At 44.0% G+C, this 19782-nt stretch overlaps 1 protein-coding gene and 1 long non-coding RNA gene across 3 annotated transcripts in view; one reads left to right on the top strand and one right to left on the bottom strand.

Annotated features, from left to right (window-relative positions):
• Positions 1–11023, top strand: part of GEMIN5 (gem nuclear organelle associated protein 5) — a 50801-nt gene extending 39778 nt beyond the window's left edge. For both annotated transcript variants that reach the window (NM_001252156.2, NM_015465.5), the window contains exons 24-28: positions 2091–2342; positions 5885–6047; positions 6692–7193; positions 9017–9113; positions 10057–11023. In NM_001252156.2, the coding sequence (NP_001239085.1) occupies positions 2091–2342; positions 5885–6047; positions 6692–7193; positions 9017–9113; positions 10057–10224 (1182 nt within the window). In that variant the 3' untranslated portion in view covers positions 10225–11023. The remainder of the gene's footprint in view (positions 1–2090; positions 2343–5884; positions 6048–6691; positions 7194–9016; positions 9114–10056) is intronic.
• On the bottom strand, positions 15004–19675 carry LOC124901119 (uncharacterized). Its single transcript, XR_007059011.1, has 2 exons — positions 19342–19675; positions 15004–15279 (listed from the first exon to the last, which is right to left on the bottom strand). It is a non-coding gene; the product is annotated as an uncharacterized LOC124901119 (long non-coding RNA).
• Between the last annotated feature and the right edge of the window lie 107 nt (positions 19676–19782).

Genomic DNA, 19782 nt, shown 5'->3' with positions numbered 1-19782 from the left:
CTGTTATTTCATCTCCTAGTATACAAGAGGGAAGTGTCCCAAATCCTTTTCTAGTCAAATCCAAGTTAATAACCCAGTTGCACAAGCTGTGCCAATTTGGCAGGCCCAGCAAGCCCTGGCCATGCTATCCCACTGAAGTACTATGACTTGTTAGTTGCCGTATTCAGAGTAAGAGATAATATGGTCATTCACAGTAATTCCCATTGCTTATCTGTTTGTACAAAACACCTGTGAGCCGGGCACAGTGGCTCATGCCTGTAATCCCAGCACTTTGGGAGGCCGAGGCAGGCAGATCACTTGAGGTCAGGAGTTTGAGACAAGCCTGGACAACATGGTGAAACCCCGTTTCAACTAAAAATACAAAAATTAGCCGAGCGTGGTGGCACGCTTCTGTAATCCTAGCTTACTTGGGAGGCTGAGGCAGGAGAATCACTTGAACCCGGAAGGCGGAGGTTGCAGCGAGCCAAGATCCAGCCTGGGCAACATAGTGGGACTCTGTCTCAAAAAAAAAAAAAAAAACACAAAAAAAAACACCTTAGTCAGCCCAGGCCTTGGGTTGGCAGTCTAGGGTTTCTTCATTGATGTTATCAGCACTGTCTTCCTTGAAGAGAGAATGGTTGGCCTCTAACAGAAATCATGGAACTCTACCTGTAAATGCCCCTCTTAACTGTAAGCTATGGAAAAAAAACTGGGCCAGATGCAGCAGATCGCTTGAGATTAGGAGTTCAAGACCAGCCTGGCCAACATGGCGAAATCTTGTCTCTACTAAAAATAAAAAAATTAGCCAGGCATGGTGGCACACATCTGTAATTTGGCTACTTGAGAGGCTAAGGCAGGAGAATTGCTTGAACCCAGGAGGCAGAGGTTGCAATGAACCAAGATTGTGTCACTGCACTGCAGCCTACGTGACAGAGTGAGACTCTTCAGAAAAAAAAGAGAAAAGTGTGGGAAAATGGAAATCTCTTTATTTCTTAAATTTTTTTGTTCCCATCTGATTAAAAATCAGTAACATACCACTGCCTTTTTGACACATCAAAACAGATTAAAGCATTGGCACACTTACCTAGTTTCTGAAACATGTAAACATTTGATTCACTTTAGATAACTTTGTGAGATACTAACAAGAGGTTTTTTAAGTTCTTCATTCTCTAACAGAGTACAGGGCCTACAGATGGTTTTTAGCTGAATATTTAGAGCCCAAGGAACGTGGTACATGGGGAGGTAGCTTTCTAGGAACAGCAGAATAAAAATGGAGGTGAAAATAGGACACCCTAAAAGATAATGCCACTGGGCATTATTTATAAAATGACCAAGTCTAGAAAGATTTTAATTTATCCACCATCAAAAAAAGTTTCCAGAATGACTGTTTAGCATTTTATTTTTCTCTTAAACAGCATCCTTAACAAAGCAAAAAAACCTAATAAGCATATGCTAAATATTCTGATAAGGGCTATTTTGGTTTTGTGCAACAGAGACTCTTGCAAGCTTAACTGAGAAGATATTGTTATAGGAGTACACAAGGAATCTCATGGCAACTAAAAATCTAGTGAAAGTAGATTTTCTAGGCCTTCTCTGTGCTTCTGTTTTCTTCTCTCCCAGCCAGCTTCCTCTATTAAACCTATTTGGACATGGCTCCTAATGCCTGTCCCAGCTCTTGGATCTGCAAAGCTTGTCTATTCCAGCACCTTTGGCCCATTATGCTTTTATTCCTGAGTCCAAAGTTTGGTCAGGGAGAAAGAACCTGATGAGCCCAGCCCTTCTTTTCCTCAAACTAGGCTACAAGGCTTAAGTGGCTGGTCTGTGTGTGGCTTAAATCATTGTGGGTAGTGCTACAGTTGGGATTCTGTGTTATAAAAATGGTTTCTTGAGCTCTAAGGATAGATTTCCCCCAAAAGGGACCTGGGAAGTGTCTGTCAGATCGCCCCTTTTGTCTCTTTTCATGCATGACTCATATGGGGCAGGTAGCTCACTAATGTGCTTTGGTTGCTGCAGATACAAAGGGAAATACTTTGAAGGACACGGGAGAGCTCTCGAGATCATCCAGTGCTTTCCCTGTATAACAGTTCCTCTTCCTTGTTGTCGTGTTCCAGGGTCAGAGATTGGTGTTTTGCCTTCTGGAGCTACTGTCCAGGCATCTGGAGGAAAAGCAGCTTTCAGAGGGCAAAAGCTCCTCCTCTTACCACACTTGGAACACGGGCACCGAAGGGCCTTTCGTGGAGAGGGTGACTGCAGTGTGGAAGAGCATCTTCAGCCTTGACACCCCTGAGCAGTATCAGGAAGCCTTTCAGAAGCTGCAGAACATCAAGTACCCATCTGCTACAAATAACACACCTGCCAAACAGGTAAGCCATCTGTACCAGCATTTGACATTAATCACTCAGTGGTAAGACTTCCTTAATCCATGTCTATTGTAACGGGGAAACAAGCAGAATACTGGACTGTGTTTCAGAAAAGGCTAAGGCATGGCCACGCCACCTGGAAAGATCCCTTTAGACTAATCAAAGCCCTTTAACTTTAAAGTTAGTATTAGATCAGTATTCCCTTTTTTGTTTTGTTTTTTTTAGTTGTTTGAAGCTGGAGTGCAGTGGCATGATCTTGGCTCACTGCAGCCGCCACCTCCCAGATTCAAGTGATTCTCCCGCCTCAGACTCCTAAGAGCTGTGATTACAGGCGTGCGCCACCACGCCCAGCCACTATTTCCTTTTCTAAAAAAGTAAAATAAAAAGTCTAGAAAATATAGAAAAGCAGAATAATGTAATAACCCATCAACCAGAATTAACAGATGTTCACATTTTGTCATTTTTACTTTGTAGGGTTTTCTGGTTTCATTTTGTATTTTGATTTGAGGACTTTATAAAATAAAAACAGTAGGGCAAAGTTGAAGTCCTTCTTGTTCCTTTCCTCAGCCCTTCACTCCTTCCCTAGCTCGCCACAGGCACCTCCTGTGTCAGTGCCACATGTATTGTTTTGCTGTTTGCTTATTTCAGAGGCCATTGTTTGTAAAATCTATCCATGTTGATAAAAAGAGATCAGTTGATTTATTTTAACTGCTATGTCTGCCTTGTGAATATACCTACTTCTTTTTTTTTTTTTTTTTCCTTTCTGGAGACTGGGTCTCACTGTTACCCAGGCTGGTCTCGAATTCCTCAAGTGATCCTCCCGCCTCAGCCTCCCAAAGTACTGGGATTACAGGCATGAGCCACTGTGCCTGGCGTAGTTCTTTCCCTCATTTCAAAATGAGGGAACATTATGATATTTATGAGGAACAAGGCTTCTCAAATGGTATATACTTTGAAAAACAATTGGACAGTTTCTTTTTTTCTTTTCTTTTTTCCTTTTCTTTTCTTTCTTTTTGAGGCGGAATTTCACTCTTGTTGCTCAGGCTGGAGTACAGTGGCATGATATCTGCTCACTGCAACCTCCGCCTCCCAGGTTCAAGCAATTCTCCTGCCTCAGCCTTCCAAGTAGCTGGGATTACAGGCATGTGCCACCACGCCCAGCTAATATTTTTACTTTTTTTTTTTTTTTAGATGGAGTCTCACTCTGTCACCCGGGCTGGAGTACAGTGGCATGATCTTGGCTCACTGCAATCTCCGCCTCCCAGGTTCAAGCAATTCTCTTGCCTCAGCCTCCCGGGTAGCTGGGATTACAGGCACCTGCCACCATGCCCGGCTAATTTTTTGTATTTTTAGTAGAGACAGGGGTTTCACCATGTTGGCCAGGCTGGTCTCGAACTCCTGACCTCGTGATTTGCCCACTTCGGCCTCCCAAAGTGCTGGGATTATAGGCATGAGCCACTGCAGCCAGCCTATTTTTCAGATTTTTAGTAGAGACAGGGTTTCACCATGTTGGCCAGGCTGGTCTTGAACTTCTGACCTCATGTGATCCACCTGCCTCGGCCTCCCAAAGTGCTGTGATTACAAGTGTGAGCCATCACGCCTGGCCAGGCAGTTTCTTATAAAGTTAAACATGCACATGCCCCATGTCTCAGCAGTTCTGCTACCTAGATATTCCACTAAAACAATGAAATCAGATGGCCACACAAAGACTTGTACACAAATGTTTACAGCAGCTTAGTGCACAGTAGCCAAAAACTAGAAACAACCCAAATGTCCATCAACTGATGAATGGATATGCAAACTGTGTTGTGTCTATGCAGTGAAATACTATACTGTTTAACAATAAAAAGGGCCAGTCTTGGTGGCTCACACCTGTAATCCCAGCACTTTGGGAGGCCAACGCGGGTGGATCGCTTGAGCTCAGGAGTTTGAGACCAGCCTGGGCAACATGGCAAAAACCTGTCTCTAGTAAAAATACAAAAATTAGCCGGGTGTGGTAGCACAAGCCTGTAATCCCAGGTACTAGGGTGGCTAAGGCAGGAGAATCATTCAAATCTGGGAGACGGAGGCTGCAGTGAGCCAAGATGGAACCACTGCACTACAGCCTGGGTAAGAGAATGAGACCCTGTCTCAAAAAAAGAAAGTAAAAAGGAACAAATTACTGCCACACAAATAATATCGGTGTTAGCCGCGCGTGGTGGCGGGCTCCTGTAGTCCCAGCCACTCTGGAGGCTGAGGCAAGAGAATGGTGTGAACCCAGGAGGCCAAGCTTACAGTGAGCCGAGATCGTGCCACTGCACTCCAGCCTGGGCGACAGAGCAAGACTCCATCTCAAAAAAACAAAGAAGAAGAAGAAGAATATCGGTGAATCTCAAAAGCTTTAAAGACACAAAAGACTATATACTCTGTGGTTCCATTTATATGAATTCTAGAAAAGAAAAAATTAAAGTGACAACCAGTTCAGTGGTTGCCAGTGGGGTGGGGCCAGGAGATCGCCTGCAGAGGAGCCGGAGGGCATATCTTCAGTTGATGAAAATGTTCTGTCTTGATTTTGCTGGTAGTGTTGTAACTATATATGTTTCTCAAACTACATACTTAAAATTGAGCACATTTTTCTTAGTTGTACTCCAAGCTTTGTTTTGTTTTGTTTTTGGTGGGTTTTGATTTTTTTTTTTTGAGACAGCGTCTCACTCTGTCACCCAGGCTCGGGTGTAGTGGCTTACTGCAACCTCCGCCTCTCGGGTTCAAGCAATTCTTCCGCCTCAGCCTCCCAAGTAGCTGGGATTACAGGCGTGCACCACCAAGCCCGGCTAATTTTTTTTTTTTTTTTTTTTTTTTTAGAGACGGGCTTTCACCTCGGGTGATCCGCCCGCCTCAGCCTCCCAAAGTGATGGGGTTATAGGTGTGAGCAACTGCACCCAGCCTTTATTTTGTTTTTAATTACAGCTTTTAGTTCCAGAAACTCACTTTTTGTTTTTGTTGTTTGTTTGTTTGTTTTGAGAGGGAGTCTCACTCTCATGCTCAGACTGGAGTGCAGTGGCGCAATCTCAGCTCACCACAACCTCCACCTTCCGGGTTCAAGCAATTCTTCTGTCTCAGCCTCCCGAGTAGCTGGGACTACAGGCACGCGCCATCATGCCTGGCTAATTTTTGTGTTTTTAGTAGAGGCGGGGTTTCACCATGTTGGCCAGGCTGGTCTTGAACTCCTGACCTTGTGATCTGCCCACCTTGGCCTCCCAAAGTGCTGGGATTACAGGCATGAGCCACCGCGCCTGGCCCACTTTTTGTTTTAATTAAATGCAAATGTAAAGGTGTTTTCTCAGTGTGAACAGACTTTAACACCGGGACGTGTGTGTGCTGCTGTGCAACTAGACATGAGAGTTTCCGATGTGGGAAGCAAAAATGGGTGGCGGAGACAAGAGGAACTTTCAAAGTGTGAATTGTGTGTACTTGTTTCCAAATGCGGTTCACAGGAACAGTTTGGTGGCATCCTCTGCGCCTACCGTGGGAGGATGTTTAACTCAGACTCTGGCTTCTCTCTCCAGCTCCTGCTTCACATTTGCCATGACTTGACCCTGGCAGTGCTGAGCCAACAGATGGCCTCCTGGGACGAGGCTGTGCAGGCGCTCCTTCGGGCGGTGGTCCGGAGCTATGACTCAGGGAGCTTCACCATCATGCAGGAAGTGTACTCAGCCTTTCTCCCTGACGGTAAGTGACTTCCTGCTGCCTGAGGCACACCCTTTAATGGACAACATCACCACCATTAGTGGTGTGGCACTGGGAGTACCTAGATTCTTAAAAGATGGAGATTGGCCAGCTGTGTCATTTTAGTAGAAAGTTTGGATTCTCTTACCGAAGCTTTTAAGAACAACTATACTGTTTCCTTTACCTGGCCCTACCCTCTTACAGCCTCCTGTCCACTTTCCACAAAGTTTAAGGGAGAGAGAAATAGGAATGTAGTTACATGTTAGTAAGAACAGAAAAGAACAGCAAAAAAGATAGACATTCCTTGGGCTGCATAGTCAGTCACTGAACTAAATCATTGTGATTTTTCAGAGAGACAGTGTGATCTGTTGTCGTGGCCCCAGAGCCTTCAGTAGTACAAATGGAATACTCTATCATGCTTTGAATGACTCCTAGGATGTAGTAATGAGAACACTGTCGCAAGCCAGGAAATGTTTAGCCTCCAGTTGGCTCTTGGTGGAAAGGCATGTGGCCCGGTGGATCACACTGTTGTCCTTTTTCCTGGGGTCTGCTTCTTGGTTGATAAGAAATAGAACATAAGGGCAGGAAGCCACATTTCTGGCAACTAGAGAAATGCATGACCCAGTATCTTTTTCCTCTTTTCCTAGGCTGTGACCACCTAAGAGACAAGTTGGGGGACCATCAATCCCCTGCCACACCAGCTTTCAAAAGTTTGGAGGCCTTTTTTCTTTATGGGCGTCTGTATGAATTCTGGTGGTCTCTCTCCAGACCTTGCCCAAATTCCAGTGTCTGGGTAAGGGCTGGTCACAGAACACTCTCTGTTGAGCCAAGCCAGCAGTTAGACACTGCCAGCACTGAAGAAACGGACCCTGAAACTTCTCAGCCAGAGCCAAACAGGCCTTCAGAACTAGACTTGAGACTCACAGAAGAAGGTGAGCGAATGCTGAGTACTTTTAAGGAGCTCTTTTCAGAAAAGCATGCCAGTCTCCAAAACTCACAGAGAACTGTTGCTGAAGTCCAAGAGACCTTGGCAGAAATGATCCGACAACACCAAAAGAGTCAACTCTGTAAATCCACAGCAAATGGTCCTGATAAGAATGAACCGGAAGTAGAAGCAGAGCAGCCCCTCTGCAGTTCTCAGAGCCAGTGGTAAGTACTGAGGCAAGTACAAGACGGAATGAAAAATGACCCTGCTGGCTAGGAACAGTGGTTCATGCCTATAATCCCAGCACTTTGGGAGGCTGAAGCAGGAGGATCACTTGGCCCAGGAGTTCACCACCAGCCCGGGCAAAAAAGCGAGACCCTGTCTCTACAAAAAAAAAAAAAAAAAAAAAGCCCGGGCACAGTGGATCACGCTTGTAATCCCAGCACTTTGGGAGGCCGAGGTGGGCAGATCACTTGAAGTAAGGAGTTTGAGACCAGCCTGGCCAACATGGTGAAACCCCGTCTCTACTAAAAATTAGCTGGGTATGGTGGCACATGCCTGTAATTCCAGCTACTTGGGGGGCTGAGGCCAGAGAATCGTTTGAACCTGGGCAGCAGAGGTTGCAGTGAGTCAAAATCGCACCAGTGCACTCCAGCCTGGGCAACAGAGGGAGACTTCATCTCAAAAAATACAAATAAAGTAACCAGGTGTGGTGGCATGTACCCTGTAGCTACTTAGGAGGCTGAGGCAGGAGGATCACTTGAGGCCAGGAGCTCAAGTTCAGCCTGGGCTACATATTGAGACCCTGTCTCTAGAAAAATTAATTTTTTTAAATTAGCCAGTAGTGGTGGCATGCACTTGTAGTCCCAGCTACTCAGGAGGCTGAGGTGGGAGGATCACTTAAGCCCAGGAGTTCGAGGCTGTAGTGAGATACGATCATGCCACTCATACCAGCCTGGTTGACAGACCCTGTCTCTACAAAAAAAAAAAAAAAAAATTAAATTTTAAGAAGCCAGGTGACAAAGGAATTTTATTTATAAAATGAGATAAAAGTAACCCAGGCAGGGGCATATGCTCTCAGGGCCTCCTGAGGGCTGTGTCATAGGCAAAAGTTTAAATTTTTAAAAAATATTAAAAATAAAAGGTAAAAGCTACCCAGGCATAACAAAAGATAATCCAATTCAAGGATGGGCAAAGGACTTGAATAGACATTTCTCTAAAAAGCCAGTAAGCACAGGAAATGATGCTCAACATCTCATCATTGGGGAAATGCAAATCAAAACTACAGTGAAGCAGCACTTCATAGCCATTAGGCTACTATCAGAGAAACAGAACAAGTGTTGAGGAGGATGCAGAGACATTGGAACCCTTGTGCCTATTGGTGGGAATGTAAAATGATGCAGCCACTGTGGAAAACAGTACAGCAGCACTTCCTCCAGAAATGTAAAATAGAATGACCATAGGATCCAGCACTTCCACATCTGGGTATACACCCAAAAGAATTGAAAGCAGGGTCTGAAATATGTGCACACCTGTGTTCATGGCAGCATTATTCATAATACCCAAAACACGGGAGCAACCTAAGTATCCACTGACAGATGAATGGATAAGCAAAATGTGCCATATCCATACAATGGAATGTCATTCAGCCTTACGAAGGGAGGACATCATGCTGAGTGAAATAAGCCAGTCACAAAAAGACATATACTATATGACTCCACTTATATGAACTACTCAAAATAGTTAAATTTATAGAGACAGAAAGTAGAATAATGTTGACAGGGGCTAAGGGAAGCAGAATGAGAAGTTAATGTTTAATGGGTATAAGATTTCAGTTTTACAAAATGACAAGAGTTTTTGGAAATGGGTGGTGGGGATGTTTTTCACCACATTATGAATTTATTTAAAATCACTGAACTATGTATTTTTAAATGGCTAAGATGGTAAGCTTTATGTTATATACATTTTACCACAGTAAAATAACAATGGGAGAAAAATGTTACCCAGGGCAAGACATACAATTTACACCTTTTATTTTTTTCACTAGTAAAGAAGAAAAAAATGAGCCACTTTCTCTGCCTGAGTTAACCAAAAGGCTTACCGAGGCAAATCAGAGAATGGCGAAATTTCCTGAGAGCATTAAGGTAAGAGTTAAAGCAGTTCATTTGGTAAAGCATCACTTTTTGTGTTATCACTTGACTATACCACATTCTTATAAAGGTCAGCTACCTCTCTGTTCAGTTTCTAAAATCTCTACCCATTCATATGTGCTTAAGAATTTAGAATCCAGGCTGGGCGTGGTGGCTCACGCCTGTAATCCCAGCGCTTTGGGAGGCTGAGGCTGGCGGATCATGAGGTCAGGAGATCAAGACCATCCTGGCTAACATGGTGAAACCCCGTCTCTACTAAAAATACAAAATATTAGCCGGGCGTGGGGGCAGGTGCCTGTAGTCCCAGTTACTCGGGAGGCTGAGGCAGGAGAATAGCATGGAGGCAGGAGAATGGCGTGAACTCAGGAGGCGGAGCTTGCAGTGAGCCAAGATCACGCCACTGCACTCCAGCCTGGGCAACAGAGCGAGACTCTGTCTCAAAAAAAAAACAAAACAAAAAAAAAGAATTTAGAATCCAATTACTTTGGTTAGCTAGAATGTTTTGTGAGACTAGAATTATCGATCACACAAGTAATTTTATACCTCAATCTTCAGAGAAACCAAATAGATTTAATAGGTAAGAAGTAAAATTTAAATTGGTGCCATGTATTAGATAGCTTACAGATGGACAGGTCTTTTTGGCTGTGGGCCCAAATATTAATAGAAGCACCATTTTTAAGGGTGGATTTGCATAGGGCTGTAGAAAGAGATTGTGCCATTGAGAAGGACATCGCAGTAGCCATCCTAGTTTTGAGTGTCATTTCTCCTTGGAGTAACTGTTGAAGAGAAAGACAGGACATTGCCTTAGGAGACAGCTGGCTCAGCTGTGTCCAAGAAGTGTCTATAGATGAACCTGAGTGACTGGTGCCTTCTGTGCAGGTGTTTGTGGCTCTTCTGCAAATGCTTCCTTATTCATCCTCATGTCATCGTCTTTCAGGCCTGGCCCTTCCCAGATGTGCTGGAGTGCTGCCTCGTCCTGCTTCTCATCAGGTCCCACTTTCCTGGCTGTCTGGCCCAGGAAATGCAGCAGCAGGCCCAAGAGCTCCTTCAGAAATACGGCAACACGAAAACTTACAGAAGACACTGCCAGACCTTCTGTATGTGAATTTTCACACACCTTGAAGAAACTGCCAAATTGAAAATGTTTGACATCTTTCACCTCTGCAGTTATGCCTCACCAGACATTCACTCTGGTCCCTAGATGTTTTTGCAGTAATCCAAAAGAATACAAACAAGGATTAAGTTTGAATCAACCCTGCCTACCCATAGACAACGGTGGATCTGACTTTAGACTCAATTGTGGTCTCCTACTGGAGGGAAGATCATGAAAAGCCCACAGTAGTTATTCAGAACTAACACCTGCAGAGTGTTGGTCATCTCTACAGCCTTAGGCAGGTTTCACCCAAAGAGGAGAAACTTCTGTCGTCACCCAAAGTGTTACATGCTTAAAACACAAGCTACCTTTGTAAATACTTCATCTGATCAGAAGTGTGTCATGCTTGTTTGAGATGGAGTTGCTGCATTTTAGGACTATTGATACCTTTTTTTAATTGTTTTTATAATATTTAATTTGAAAGAGGAGACCCTTCTCTCTCTACTCTTTCATAGACTGAAGTTTGAATATGAAATAGGCCTTAACCATCATGTTGACTCTCCTGTCAGAATTTTAGGTTGGAAATTTGGTTTTATTCTTTCATGTAATTGCTTATTTGAACAGATCACTTACTAAAGCTTTAGAAGAAGTGATTCAAATGTGTGTTTTCCCTTCAGTTTTATAACAAATGGATTGATGGCAGTCAAATAGCTCAGGAATAAATTACTGTTTCAATGGTTCTTAAACTTTCTTGGATCATAGGATCCTTTTGAGAATCAGATTAAAGCCAAAGATACTCTTTGGAGAAAAATGCATATTCCTAATTTTGCATAGATGACCTTTGGATTATTGGACTCTGACTATTGGGACCCTAAATACTATTTAATTATAAATCTTTTTTTTCTCCTCCTTGGTTATTTAAACAGTTGAACAGTGTCAGGAACAGATGTTTCTGTAATGTCACAGTTGCTAGCATGGGAAAATCAGAGTCTGGCATGGGTGTAGGAAGGAACACTCCTTTCAGATAATTGAACTGTTTTCTCTAGGATTCATTGTGAAGGCTTTTCTGCTCACGTTTGTAGTTTATTTTTCAATTAATTCCTAGGATTGGAGCTGTTGGGACAGTGAGAATGAAATTCATTTACAGGAAGTCCCAGGAAGGAGAAAGTTTGAGGCAGTTTTCAAAGACGTGTATGTGCCTAGCATTAGAGTTTAATAAACTCACAAAGGGAAATACTGTAGAATTTAGATCCTCACAGTTCTTCATACAGTGAAGTGAACTTTAGGAAGACGATGCTTTGTTACCAGGGATGGAGAATCTTTCTTGATTGCAAAGACATAAATAGGCATGGCTAGGTAGAAAACCTAGCCTAGTTGGTAGGACACCAGTTCTACCAACTGCTAAAATGAACTTTACTTACAGAGGTGGAAAAAATATATACTCCCTTCCACTTGAGTAAAGAGTGATATTGTTAAACTAGAATTCTAAATTCCTTTGTGATCTGTCAGAAGCATCACCTGTGGGTGGAGGAGTCCTGCACACTCCTCAGTTACTGCTTTGGTAAGAACAAGATTATCTATTTGAGTCCAGGCATGGTAGCTCATGCTTGTAATCCCAACACTTTGGGAAACCAAGGCAAGTGAATCACTTGAGGACAGGAGTTTGAGACCAGCTGGGCAGTATATATGGAGGCAGTATATATTTGAGACCAACATTTGGCAGTATATATGGAGGGGCTGAATTGCACTCAGTTGCCTGGTGCTATGGTGCACGCCTGTACTCTGGATACTGTGGAGGTTGAGGTGGGAGGATTGCTTGAGGCCAGGAGTTCAGGGCCAGCCTGTGCAACATAGCAAGCTCCCATCTCTATAAGTAATGAATAAACTTTTTAAAATGAATTATGGCCAGGCACAGTGGCTCACACCTGTAATCCTAGCACTTTGGGAGGCCAAGGCAGGCGGATCACCTGAGGTCAGGAGTTCGAAACCAGCCTGGCCAATATGGAGAAAACCCATCTCTACTAAAAATACAAAAATTAGCTGGGCATGGTGGCACATGTCTGTAATCCCAGTGTTGGAAATAAGAGCTCAGAGTCACAAAGAAAATGAGCACTCAAACAAAAGACTTCTCAGCAAGGCAAATTTACGTCCGCAGAAGGGTGCTGCTGCCTGCACCAGTCACAATCACAAGAGCACACTGAACAAAGGAGAGAAAGGTTTTTATCCCTAATGCAGCTTCTGTTTCTGTATCCTTTTCCCATTGGCTGGAGTCGGACCACACAATTTAAGCTAACCTGATTGGCTAAAACTTGAAATTTTTCCAAATAGGGTAGACAGGGAAGAAGGGGTAGGAGTGGTAAAACTTTTCCAAATAGGGTAAACTGAAACCTTTAAACACGTAACTTGTAAAGAAAGGTTGGGAGGGAGGGATTGTCCATTAAGGCATATTTGGGCATGTTTAGGCACAGCAAAGATGGAAAGTCTTGTTTAGAGAACAAGAATTTATCCTTTCTAGCAATGTGAAAGGACATTAGTTGCTAAAAGGAACAAGGAAGTTTGAAGAGGAACTGATGGTTTGGCAAATTTCCCCCTCTTGACTTGGTAGTTCTTCCTCGTCAAGTCTCCTTAACATATCTTGACTTTATTGTTCCTCTTAGTCACTCAGGAATAGGAGCTTATCTGAGTAGGGTGGGGGAGAAGCAAGAGGGGTTTTGGTGAGAGCTTTTTCTATGAGTCTTTGCACTAATCCATGAATACAGGGTATAATGCAGCAACCTACAAGAATAAGTACACCTATAACAATTGCAAGGGGGGTAAAGATTGAGGTTATGAGTCCCTTCCATTTGCCAAACCATTTTTCCATGAGATTAGAGAAGGGGTCATTTACTCCAGAATTTTTGGCCAATTCATTTGCTAGGGCTTTTGTAATTGTTCCATCCGGGGCTGTGTTGTTGGGGATAAAAGTACACCATTAGACTCCAATCATGATATGGACCCCACCCTTCTCAGCTAATACCATGTCCAGGGCTATTCAATTTCCCAGGCCATTAGGCTGGTAGGGCCTAATTGTTCAGCTATTCCTTTAATGGAATCCCTAGTATAATTAGCAAACCATTGTTGATTATAGTTAATGTAATTTATCCAGTCTACATTTTTGTTTGCAGTTACCCATGAGAGCAATATAGATTCAAATCCTGCAGGTATTTGATTTTGGGTTTTAAACTCATTTGGCACCCCTCATGGAACTCCAATGGCATCTATATAAATGTGAGGGTCAAAGGACATGTAAGGGGGACTTCTCTTAACAATTGTTCTTTTTGTTTGGTTGGTGAAATGCCAGGGTGAAAGGGATGGCCAATTGGATTAGAGTGCAAGTGTCCCTCCAGTTACTTGGCAGAGTACCCAATAGTGGCCCACCACAATACCACCATAAATCCAGATGCTCAGGGATGAACAAGGGCAGACTTATTGGTTAGCTCCTGAAAAGGCTTGGACTCACTACATCCCATTAGGCTTCCAAGGAATGCCAAATTTTCCCCCTGTCGTGAGACACGTAAAATTTACATTGTTAATCGGAGGCCCTCGGGCTGACCTACAGGGCCTTTAACTTCCAGAAATAGCAGCGAGAGTTTAGCATGCCTTATTCCCCCGGGCTGTGGGGTTTTGGAAGAGAGCTACCATACAGCTCAAGCCCTGTTGGTTGGAGGTCCATCCGAGTGGAAAGGGAACAATTTGGGTTTCTGGCTTACCTGTTGCACAAGGGTAACAATCGCTTTTATTTAGGGTGTGAATGGAATATTTAATCCATTCCAGCCAGGCATTAACATCTTGATATCTGGTTTCTATGGCTAAGGTTTGCTTTAGGTCCATGACTTCTACTATGGCTATTTTTTTATTATTAGGTAAGAAACGAAAAATGGTTTGATTTGGTGGGCGTGGGGGAGGTGAGTTGGTAGGAGACGGAGAAGGGTTAACAAAACTTTTTTTGTTTTTATTTTTGTTTTGTTGTTGTTTGTTTGAGGCAGAGTCTCTGTCGCCATGCTGGAGTGCAGTGGCACGATCTCAGCTCACTGTAACCTCCGCCTCCCAAGTTCAAGTGATTCTCCTGCCTCAGCCTACCGAGTAGCTGGGACTACAGGCATGTGCCACCATGCCCAGCTAATTTTTGTATTTTTAGTAGAGATGGGGTTTCACCACGGTGGCCAGGTTGGTCTCAATCTCTTGACCTTGTGATCCGCCTGCCTCGGCCTCCCAAAGTGCTGGGATTACAGGTGTGAGCCGCCACGCCCAGCCAATGAAAGATATTTTAGAGGAGCCTATGGGGTCTTTTCCAGTGACATCCATTCCTAGGCCATAAAGACAAGTGGGGTTAGGGTCAGTGGAGGTGGGGATAAGAATAGAGAGAAGTACTGGGTTGCACTGGTGGATTTGGCAATTTGAGGGGGTGATTCCTATGGTGAAGTGGAGGTAGGATTTTAGGGTGGTGCAGCCTTCTGAGGAGGTCCAGCCCTGATATTTGGTAGTCCAGATAACAGCTCCCCAACTATATCATAACCCCTGGAAGGCTCATGGTTGTTGATTGCAAAGGTTATAGGTGGTGCTGGGTTTGGAAGGGGTGGATGGGCAGAGCTTTTCTAGGAGGCTAGCTGTCTCTGACTTTGGAGATTCCCTCGGGGCATGGCAAGACAAGCATTGAAAGTAATGCTTTGGATTTGGGGTGAGCTTGACCTAGTTAAGTTAATAATAAGACGAGAGGCAGCTAAGGGAAAGAGAAGAGGAAAAAAAGACAGATTAGGCTTTTCTCTTTAATGTTACTCTGGTGAGAGTTGGCCCTGGGACGACGGTCCATGGCTTTGGAGAGGGCAGTGCCTTTCTGACTTGGGTATAATGGATCCACCCCTTTTCAGCAGTTCGGACTGCTCAGTTGTTAGGAGCACTAGGTAAGGTTCTTCTCAGGTGGGCTCAAGCTTTCCCTCTTTCCAGATTTTGACAAGGATGTGATCTCTGGGTTGATGTTGGTGGACTGGGAATTTGAGAGGTGGTGTTTGCGCTAGGAGGCCTTGAATCCTGAGGGAGGAAAGGGTGGAAGACAGACCAAATACATAGATTTTGAGAAACTGATTTTTCATTTCAAATGTAGAAAGGTCAGTAGTGGAATTTAGGTAAGGCAACCCATAGAGCATTTCATAAGGGGACAGGCCAAGGTCCTTTCAAGGGGCAGTCCGGATTTTGAGTAAGGCAATGGGAAGACATTTTGTTCATGGTAACCGAGTTTCCAGGATTAACTTGGTTAGGTGATTTTTTAAAGTTTGATTCATTCTTTCTGCTTTCCCTGATGAGGACAGATGCCAGAGAATATGATATTCCCATTTTATTTCTAATGCCTAGGTTAGTCCTTTAATGATGTATGCAGTGAAGTGGGTCCCATTGTCTGAATCAATGTTTTCTATTAGTCCAAACCTGGGTATGATGTGTTCTAACAGGGCTTTGACCACATTACTGGCTGTTGTGCTTGGGAAGGGGATGGCATCTACCCAGTGGGTGAGGTATTTTACTATTACTAGCAAATACTTGAGGTGGTCTATTGGGGGCATTTCAGTATAGTCAGCCTGGACACTTCAGAATGGCCTTGACCGTGGGTTCCTTCCTCCAGGAGGTTGCCTCTTTAGGGTTTGCTTATTAGTCTTTCTGCACGCTATGCAACCATCCACTGCTTGCTTAGTGAGGGTGTATATTCCTGTGTATTCATAGACTCTAAGGACTGCATCACACGTAGCTTGAGGACCCCAATGAGATCCTTGATGAAGTTGTGACAGTATTTCCCTCATAAGAGGCTTGGATAACATTTCTCTTCCATCTGGTAATACCCATTTTCCTTCTGAGTTTTCCTCAGCTCCTAATTTCTTTAGTTTTTCCTGGTCTGCGTGGGGGAAGATGGGAAGTGCAGTGGAAGGGGGAAGATGAGGGGTTAAATGAAAAATGGGTGTAGCTTGGGAAGAGGCAGCCTGTTTGGCTATTTGGTTGGCTAGATTATTTCTCCGACTTTCAAAGGAGAGGGTTTTTTTTGGTGTCCTGGGACATGAACAATAGCTATTTCCTCAGGAAGCTGGAGATTATCTAATACTTGTATTATTAACTCTTTGTGAACTAGGTTTTTTTTTTTTTTTTTTTTAGAGACGGAGTCTCACTCTGTTGCCCAGGCTGGAGTACAGTGGTGTGATCTCGGCTAACTGCAAGCTCCACCTCCCGGGTTCACGCCATTCTCCTGCCTCAGCCTCCCGAGTAGCTGGGACTACAGGCACCCGCCACCACGCCTGGCTAATTTTTGTATTTTTAGTGGAGACGGGGTTTCACCGTGTTAGCCAGGATGGTCTTGATCTCCTGACCTTGTGATCCATCTGCCTCGGCCTCCCAAAGTGCTGGGATTACAGGCACAAGCCACCACACCCGGCCTTATGGACTAGGTTTTGACCTTTACTGTTAGTAAGGCCTCATTCAGTCCAGATTTTTCCAAAGGTATATACTACTCCAAAGGCATATTTGGAGTCAGTATAAATTGTTCCCTCCCGATTTTGTAAAAATTTTAAGGCTTGATTTAGAGCAATTAGCTCGCACGTCTGTGCGGACCAGTCATTGAGTAATCTTCCTGATTCTATTTCTGTGAGGGTATCTCTGTCAACTACAGAGTATCTGTAATCCCTTTTTCCTTCTATTACCTGGGAGGAACCATCTACAAAAAGATGTTTCCCTGTTTGAAAAGGAGTTTCACATAAGTCTAGTCTTAACTTTGGTTTGGTAACTAATTAGGTCTAAATATTTATGCTCAGGTTCCATTGGTTGTGGGTTCCCTGTTACCTTTTGGTTTGGATTCCTGGTTAGAAAAGCAGCTGGATTTAGAGAATTGTCAGTGGTTAGTGTCAGGTCATCTCTCTCTAGCAGGATAGCTTCATATTTTAAAATTCTTGAGTCAGCGAGCCACCTTTCTGCCTTTTGGTTGAGGATAGTTCTGACTTCGTGAGGTGTGCTAACAATGAGTTTTCCCCCAGAGGTTAATTTTCTGCTTTCCTCCCTGAGCAAGGCTGTTGCTGCCAGTGGCCCCCATGCTCTTGGGTGAGTACCCCTAAAGCCACTCCTTTGCTTAATACTGACAAAAAGATGGAATGGCTGTTCTAGGGAGGGTAAAGCTAGAACAGGGTCAGTCACTAGTAAATGTTTTAACTTTTCTACTTGTTTGATTTCTGCTAGAGTTCAGAGAAGGGGGTCTGGCTCTTCTTGGGTGAGTCTTTCATACAAAGGTTTTGTTTCTAAGGCATAAGAGTCAATTCATTGGCAACAGTATCCAACCAATCTCAAAAATTTTCTGAGCTCTTGTTTTGTTTCTGACACAGGTAGGGATATGATACCTTCAATCCATTCAAAGCCAATTCTCTGCCTTTTGCTTTTGCCTTTCCTCATCCCTCCGTACATATACATTTTCATTCTCTTTAAAAGCTCTTCTATGGGATGGTCTTTCCAATTTTCTATCTTTCGTAATTTCTTTGTAATATCTGGTGACAAAACGGAGCTCTAACATTCCTCATCCAAGGGGGTTTTCTAATTCTAGGCCAGCATATTTCCTCCTTTGCTCTTTAAGCCTCTCTAAGAATTCCGTAGGTCCTTTATCCTTTCCCTGTTGTATATTAAAAGCTTTGGTATATTTTGAGTTCGAGGAACTGATTCCCGAATCCCTTTAATTATCCTATCTCTAAGATCTCTCATATTCCCTCAATGGGCTACATTGTTATCTCATTGAGGATCTTGGGCTGGGAACTTTTGTTTAGCTGCAAGGACGTTATGACTGAGGGGGTGTTCACGTTCCCAAACCGTCATAGTGCAGATCATGCTTCTTTCCTCTCCCGAAAAGAGGATGCCTAGGATGGACATTAACTCAGTCCAAGTATACAACTGGGGTCCTAGAAATTGATCAATTTGATCTGCTACTCCATAGGGATTGTCTAAGAGTGGTTTGAGCCCTTTTTAGGCTTCGGACTTCTGAACTGGTTAACAGGGCGTTCACAAAACAAATGCCCCCTCCTCCTAGAAGCACTTCCCTTAAGGGAAAGATCGTTGGAGCAGATTCTCGAGGTAGTGGGGAAAGGAAAGTTTTGGATATCTTTTTTACACTGTTCTATCTCACGTTGAAGTCTTCCTGGGGAAGGGCATTCAGGCTAGGGAGACCCCAAGTCAGGATTATAAGGGGAAGAAACAAAGTGAGCTGGGGAAGGGTCTGGGGCAGTTGCAGCTACTGGAGGGGGAGGGAAGTTAGTGGTGTTTGGTGGGGGAAGGTGGTCTAAGGGGTCCCACGTGTTGGTTGACTTTTTGGGATGAGGGATATTAATTTCTTGAGAAGAAGTAGCTTCTGGCTTGTCCCCCGTATCCTTTAGGGAACAGAGGACAGGCCCCCACCACCAACACAGGGCATAGTCTATTTCCTCCTGGGAGACAGGACTTTTGTTATTGACATACCCTATTAAAAGCTGACAAATCCAATCCTCACTAGATCGAAACTTTTGGCCAAAAGACTGAAGGTTTGAGGATAGGTTTTTTGGTCCAAATAAAACAGCAATATTTTATCGTTTGTTGCTTTTTCTTGTGTTTGGTCCTTTCATTATCCTTCCAGTATGTTAACATGAGACCTAGAGGGCTATCAGAGGGAATTTTATTGTCTGTCTTATCCTTCTTATTTCCTGTCCTGCTTGAGGTATTTCCCATTCTGGAAGTTTTAGGTGTTTCCCTGAGTTTCCTGAGTCTGTGTGGCTCAACCTCTTTTATGAGAGATTTCTTGCCCCCTTTTCCCTGAAGGTTCAACCCCTCCCCTGCCACTGGAGGTTTCTTGCACTCCCCTACTTTTGTTTCATCCTTCTCCGGCCACTTCCCTTATGGGAATTTGGGTCCCTCTTAGCATTGGCGGGTCGGTATAAGCCTCATGACAGGAAAGCTGCCCTAAGCCATATGAGGTGACCGTGGAACCACAGATCCGGACTGCACACTTGCTTTGCACTCAACTGTGCATCTTATTCACACACTTTCAACCTCCAGGATGTCCTGACCACCAAAGAAGTACTTCACCGCCCCCGCAGCTTTTCTTACCTTGGTGTGTGCAGAGGAGTTACCTGGTCGCCACAGTATTTGTAGGACTTTTCTTCCTTCATTGCTGAGAGTCCAGGTTTATTCGTCACACCAGGTGGGTCTTGATTCCTTATTCCTGAGGCCATTGCAATGAGGCAGCAGGACGCATCTCCTCATGAGAGGTGATCAGAGACCCTTCCCTAGAGGAGAATGGGATGCCAGATGAGCCCCCAAATAGTTGGAAATAAGAGCTCGGAGTTGCAAAGAAAATGAGCTCTCAAAAGACTTCTCAGCAAGGCAAATTTACTTCTGAGAAGGGTGCTGCCTGCAACAGTCATGATCGCAAGAGCACACTGAACAAAGGAGAAAAGTTTTTATCCCTAATGCAGCTTCTGTTTCTGTGTCCTTTCCCCATTGGCTGTAGTCGGACCACACAATGTAAGCTAACCCGATTGGCTAAAA

The sequence above is a fragment of the Homo sapiens genome, chromosome 5 (genome assembly GCF_000001405.40).
Source record: "Homo sapiens chromosome 5, GRCh38.p14 Primary Assembly".
NCBI lineage: Eukaryota > Metazoa > Chordata > Mammalia > Primates > Hominidae > Homo > Homo sapiens.
This window is presented reverse-complemented; position numbering and strand designations above follow the sequence as displayed.